The 5,676-nt window shown below is 42.7% G+C and overlaps 1 pseudogene, besides 1 other annotated feature; it reads left to right on the forward strand.

Moving 5' to 3' along the window:
* Positions 475-1,010: an enhancer, noted in NCBI's record as "NANOG hESC enhancer chrX:45768669-45769204 (GRCh37/hg19 assembly coordinates)". NCBI's record gives its function as "activates a minimal SCP1, AML or CMV promoter by ChIP-STARR-seq in naive and primed H9 embryonic stem cells {active_cell/tissue: H9 hESC(naive and primed)}" and the evidence as "EXISTENCE:reporter gene assay evidence [ECO:0000049][PMID:30033119]".
* Positions 4,357-5,306, forward strand: SRSF6P1 (SRSF6 pseudogene 1; annotated as a pseudogene).

The raw sequence follows: 5,676 nt of genomic DNA on the forward strand, positions 1-5,676 counted from the left end.
TCCTTTTTTTTTTTGACGGAGTCTTGCTCTGTCTCCCAGGCTGGAGTGCAGTGGCGTGATCTCGGCTCACTGCAACCTCTGCCTCTGGGTTCAAGTGATTCTCCTGCCTCAGCCTCCCCAAGTAGCTGGGACTACAGGCGCACACCACCAAACCCGGCTAATTTTTGTATTTTTGGTAGAGACGGGGTTTGGCCATGTTGGTCAGGCTGGTCTCGAACTCCTGACCTCAGGTGATCCGCCCACTCTGCCTCCCAAAGTGCTGGGATTACAGGCGTGAGCCACTACGCCAGGTCCACAAGCTGCATTTCTAACAATGCTGCCAGGTGCCGCTACTGGCCTTGGGGGGATGAGGGCGGGGCACGGATACTTGAGAACTGCTGTTCTGGAGCAGTGTCTCTCAAACTGGGGTCTCTGACTGAGAATCTAAGCATGTTTAAAAATGTACCTGGGATTTGTTTAAATCAGGTATGGCAAGGTGACAGACACTGAGACAACTGCCTTACAATTAGGCAGAAAGAGTGAGGGGTCACAATGGGCAAAAGCCTTTTGTTTTTTGCAGGAAGAAATGGGCAGGGCAAGGTGAGCAGTTTAGGGTTGGCTACTTTAAATAAATAATTTCAGTGGGCGCTGGGCTATAGGCATAGTCTCTAGTTCAGTGCGTGGTCCTAGGGTGCTTTAGGGCAGGCTTGGTGTGTAAAAGTTAGATAAGGGAGGTAGTGGGGAGGCGGAGGCAGCATGGGCTATGAATTGTTAGTTTGCATGTGAAAGGTGCCCTGGAAGGCAACTTGTTTGCTATCTCTAGGAATTAGCTGGCCCCCACAGGGGCAGTCTCTCTGGGATTAGCAAGGCCCCAAGATATCAGTATCATAAAATACAGAAAAATTAAAAACATGATTAATACAAAGAGTAATTTTCGGCCGGGCGCGGTGGCTCACGCCTGTAATCCCAGCACTTTGGGAGGCCGAGGCGGGCGGATCACGAGGTCAGGAGATCGAGACCATCCTGGCCAACACGGTGAAACCCCGTCTCTACTAAAAATACAAAAAAAAAAAATTAGCCGGGCGTGGTGGCGGGCGCCTGTAGTCCCAGCTACTCGGGAGGCTGAGGCAGGAGAATGGCGTGAACCCGGGGGGCGGAGCTTGCAGTGAGCCGAGATCGCGCCACTGCACTCCAGCCTGGAAGACAGCAAGACTCCGTCTCAAAAAAAAAAAAAGAATAATTTTCTATTCTGTCTTTATTGTAATAATAATCTTTTTTTTGGTACTGGTTGTAAAGACCAAATTTTTTTCCTGGTGATAATTCCCAATTTAAAGATAGTTTCACAAAATGAAATTTAGTTTATGAACTCATTGTCTTTAAAACTGTGGACTAAGGACCCTCAGAAATCCAAACATATATCTTTACATGTCCAAGGGAATTTTTCAAACCATTAAAGGGACTTCATACTTAACTTTGAGAAACATATTGTTTTGGCATTCACATTAATCTATACTAACAGCCCCCTTCAGTCAATGAACAGCAAGCATTACCTTTTTATTATTATTATTATTATTATTTTTATTTTTATTGAGACAAGATTTTGCTCTGTTGCCCAGGCTGGAGTGCAGTGGCATGACCACAGCTCACTGTAGCCTCGACCTCTTGGGCTCAAGTGATCCTCCTGCCTCAGCCCCTGAAGTAGCTGGGACTGTAGGCGTGCAGCACAGTGCCCAGCTATTATTTTTATTTTTGTAGAGATGGGGTCTCCCTATGTTGCCCAGGCTGGCCTCGAACTCCTGGGTTCAAGGGATCCTCCTGCCAGGATTACAGTCATGAGCCACTGTGCTGGCCTTTTATTGTTTTCTTAAAAGCAAACTTTTGAAAAACAGTATATAGGGCATCAGAAATGTTAAAGAGTCATGAGATCATTGTCCCTATCAAGTCATTTCCTTTCCTTTGTCTTTTATGTGCTCACAAAACTTTTTATAAGCCCACAAGACTCTGTGTGTATGTGTATGTATGTGCATGCTTACACAACGGGTTTCACTAAGATACTCTGAATTTTACTTTCAGGAATGGTTATATAGGTTACTCTACTGCTTCAAACATCAACTAATTTTATCTGTGTGTGTGGGGAGGGGAGGGTGGTGTCTTCCATTGTGTCCGTGTGGCAAGACAAATGGGGGAAAAAGTCCACTTTTCTCTGAAGAGAATCCAGTGTACTATGAGGATAAAAGTAGCATCAATTTTGTCTGTCACACATTGCTACTGCTCAATGAGCAGGTGACTATTTATAAAGTGACACTCTGCATTCGCTGCTCAGCATTTGAGGAGTTTCCTGAAAAATCAGGGTTCCTTCCAAACTTTATTCAGGTCATTGAAGCTGAGGTTTCAGTGATACTTGAAATCTTTTCTGAGCTGAACAGTATATAGAATCCCCCAACAGAACCATAATAAAGTCTGGAAATTACTTGTGGCTGGGGTAGAGTTTTCATGAGGGACTTAAAAAGCCTTAAGTGTGTACTTAGCTGGCTATAAGGGAAGCCATGCGCACTCCAGCAAAATAGAGCGATACACAATAAAACATTTCATGGCCCACAAACTGTCCCTTACTAATTTGGATAACTGGGGCACAGAGTTTATTTTTGCTCATCTTACTTATTTTTGTTTTGCTGAAAACCTATGGCGTGCTGAGGCATATCTACCCCACCTTTAGCACTGCTATTTTTCCAGCTTTTTTCATGTTTCTTCCTTCTCAAACTCTTTATTTCTTTGACCCCCATGCCAGTGTTCCTGCCATTTCTTTCTTTTCCTATTATCAGTCAATAAATAATTAAATGAATATTAAATTATACTGGCTAAGTATTTACTAATATTTCCTAACTTACACGGATAGGGAACAAGAAAGCACGACATATAGTCCCTGAGCATAAATTTCAAATTTTTGCTACTAGGTACAGACTCCTTTTTCAATCCCCATGAAGTTTGCCTTTCTGAAGATTGTAATTATTAGTAAAAGCATCAGCCAGTAGCCTGCCTGGAGCAACCCTGCAAGGTAAAAATGCTGCAAGGGCTGAGTCTGGTGACAGACAGTGGAGAAGGACATGGAGGGCCACAGAGGGCATAGGATTGCGTTCCCAGAAGGAAGTTCTGGAATCAGGAATAGAAGCACAGAAGGTCATTCCGAAATGAAGGAAGCATTTTCCTCTGTTCACAGCTGAAAATGGAATAGAAAGCTAGAGAATTTACAAAGATAGATAGAGTTAGATATTTAGCTATTATGGTTTAGGCAATAAAATGGAGGAAAGGGACTTAGATTTATGGAAACCATATAGTGTACTAGGCATTTAACTACGTGCTTTATGTACATGATCTCATTTAACCCTTTTAACAATCCTGTGGGCTAGCTATTACTCTTGCCATTTCATATTTAAGAAACTCATCCAAAGTCATACAGTTAGAAAATGGTAATGTCAGGATATGCATCAAGGTCTTTCTGACTGCAGAGCCCACGCACTTCCCATCCTATCTTGCAGATGGCCCAGTTTGAGACTGATGGGAACGCGCTGTAGGTATTTATGTCTACCTTGCAAGCCAGAGACTGTGCTATTACATCAACTTGCATGTCATCTGTCAGAGAAGTTTTGTGTGTGCGTGAATGTTTTATTGTTATTATTATTGTTGCTCTGATTCTGGAGGTAAATGTCTTTAGAATTTCAAATAACGCATGACTCATTTCCTGATATACACTGTCACCACGATTTCTTTTATGAAAGTATTGAATGCAGGCTCTGGAAATAAGAAAGGCTTTCTACACATGCACTGTAGAATAATGCTTAAGCTCAAAAGAAAGAAAAAAAAAGAAAGGTGACCTTATTAACCCTTTCTGCATAAAATTCCTGCAAACTGTCAGCATCCCACAAGATTCCACCCACCTGGCAAATCCTAGTGCCATACTTTGAACAAAGACATCTACCACAATAATATTTCAGGCAGCTACTGAAACCATCTTTGGGATACAGGGCTTTCTTGACCAGCTCTGTACAGTTGACCCTTGAACAACATGGATTGAACTGTGGGCGTCCACTTATATGTGGATTGAAAATATAGTATTTAGGTGTGGGGGCTGGGGGTCATATGACTCAGGTGTCCCCGGGCCCTGCTGCCTTCACAGCCTGGGGCAGCCATGGGATGCCAGAGTGTGGGGATTGGTGGCCAGTGGGTCTGAGGCTGTGTCTACTGAGGCTAAGATGACTGCCTTTCTTGACTGGCCTTGACTTTTCCATACATTGTGTGACTCTTGCCCCATGGCCCTTTGGCTGACCTTACCGGAAGCCATGATGACAGCGGCCTTTTGCCATTAGATGCAGGGAGATGGTGGTGGAAGTGGATACAGCAGTCAGAGAACATCTGGCAGAGACAAATATGGACCACCTGTTCATACAGAATACGAGCTTATTATAGAAAGTCTTTCTAGTTGTTACAGTTGGCAAGATTTAAAGGATTTTATGCAACAAGCAGATGAAGTAACCTATGTTGATGCTCACAAGGAATGCACAAGTGAGGGCGTTGAGTTTCACTCCTATTTTGACATGAAGCTTGCTTTGGACAAACTGGATGGTGCAGAAATATTAGGCTTATTGAAGGTAAGCCAGGCACAAGCCATAGGCGATCTGATTCTGGAAGCAGATCCAGGTATAGATCTAGAAGATGGTCACGAAGTAGGAGTCGCAGGAGCAGCCACAGTAGATCTCGAAGTATCTCAAAAAGTCACTCCTGATCAGGTTGCGGAGCAAAGGTCGATCACGTTCTCGTTCAAAAGGCAGGAAATCTAGCTCAAGGAGCAAATCTATGCCCAAATCTGATCTGGGCTCCTGTTCTTGTTCTCAAAGCAGATCTAAGGATGAGTATGAGAAATCTCCAAGCAGGTCTCTGTCCCGATCTTCCAAAGAAAATGGAAAAGGTGATATGAAGTCAAAATACAGATCAAGGAGCCAGTCTCGTTCCAATTCACCCCTACCTGCTCCACCCTCAAAGGGTCATTCTGTGTCCCCTCCGCCAAAAAGAGCTACTTCAAGATCCCGTTCTAGATCCCATTCAAAATAAAGATCAGGGTGCAGGTTGAGTTCCAGAGATTAATCCAGAACTCTTCATTCATTGCGCACTATTATGGAACACTTTTCTACTTGCTTAGGCAGTTGTTCTTCCATGTTTATACTTGGCTTCTTTTGCAAGAGGAATCTCCTGAAAACAGGGGCACACAGAAATTTGATTTGTGGCCAAATTTGATGAAAAAGATGAGGCTCTAAGGAAATGGTGGCATAAAGTCAAAGACCCTCTCCCTTCTTTGTAGAATTAAGATAACTTCAATTTTATAGCTTTTGAGCTAAAATAACTTTTGTAAAGATTAAGCTCATTTAGATGTTTTTAAAAGTATTTCAGCAGGATCTGCTGCAGGGTTTGTTGTTGTTGTTGTTGTGTTACTTGTTTGCTTATTTTAAAATTAACCGTTTCAAGCTTTGAATACTTAAGGCTTTAGAGGGACAACCCAATTTTCAATTACATTTGCTTTTTATAAAGCTTGAGTTATGTAAGCTTTAAATAAAAGTTTGCTACCAAAAAAAAAAAAGAAAATACAGTATTCACAAGATGTGAAACCCAAGTATAGGGAGGGCCAACTTCTCATATACGTGGGTT

Source organism: Homo sapiens, chromosome X (assembly GCF_000001405.40).
Source record: "Homo sapiens chromosome X, GRCh38.p14 Primary Assembly".
Classification (NCBI taxonomy): domain Eukaryota; kingdom Metazoa; phylum Chordata; class Mammalia; order Primates; family Hominidae; genus Homo; species Homo sapiens.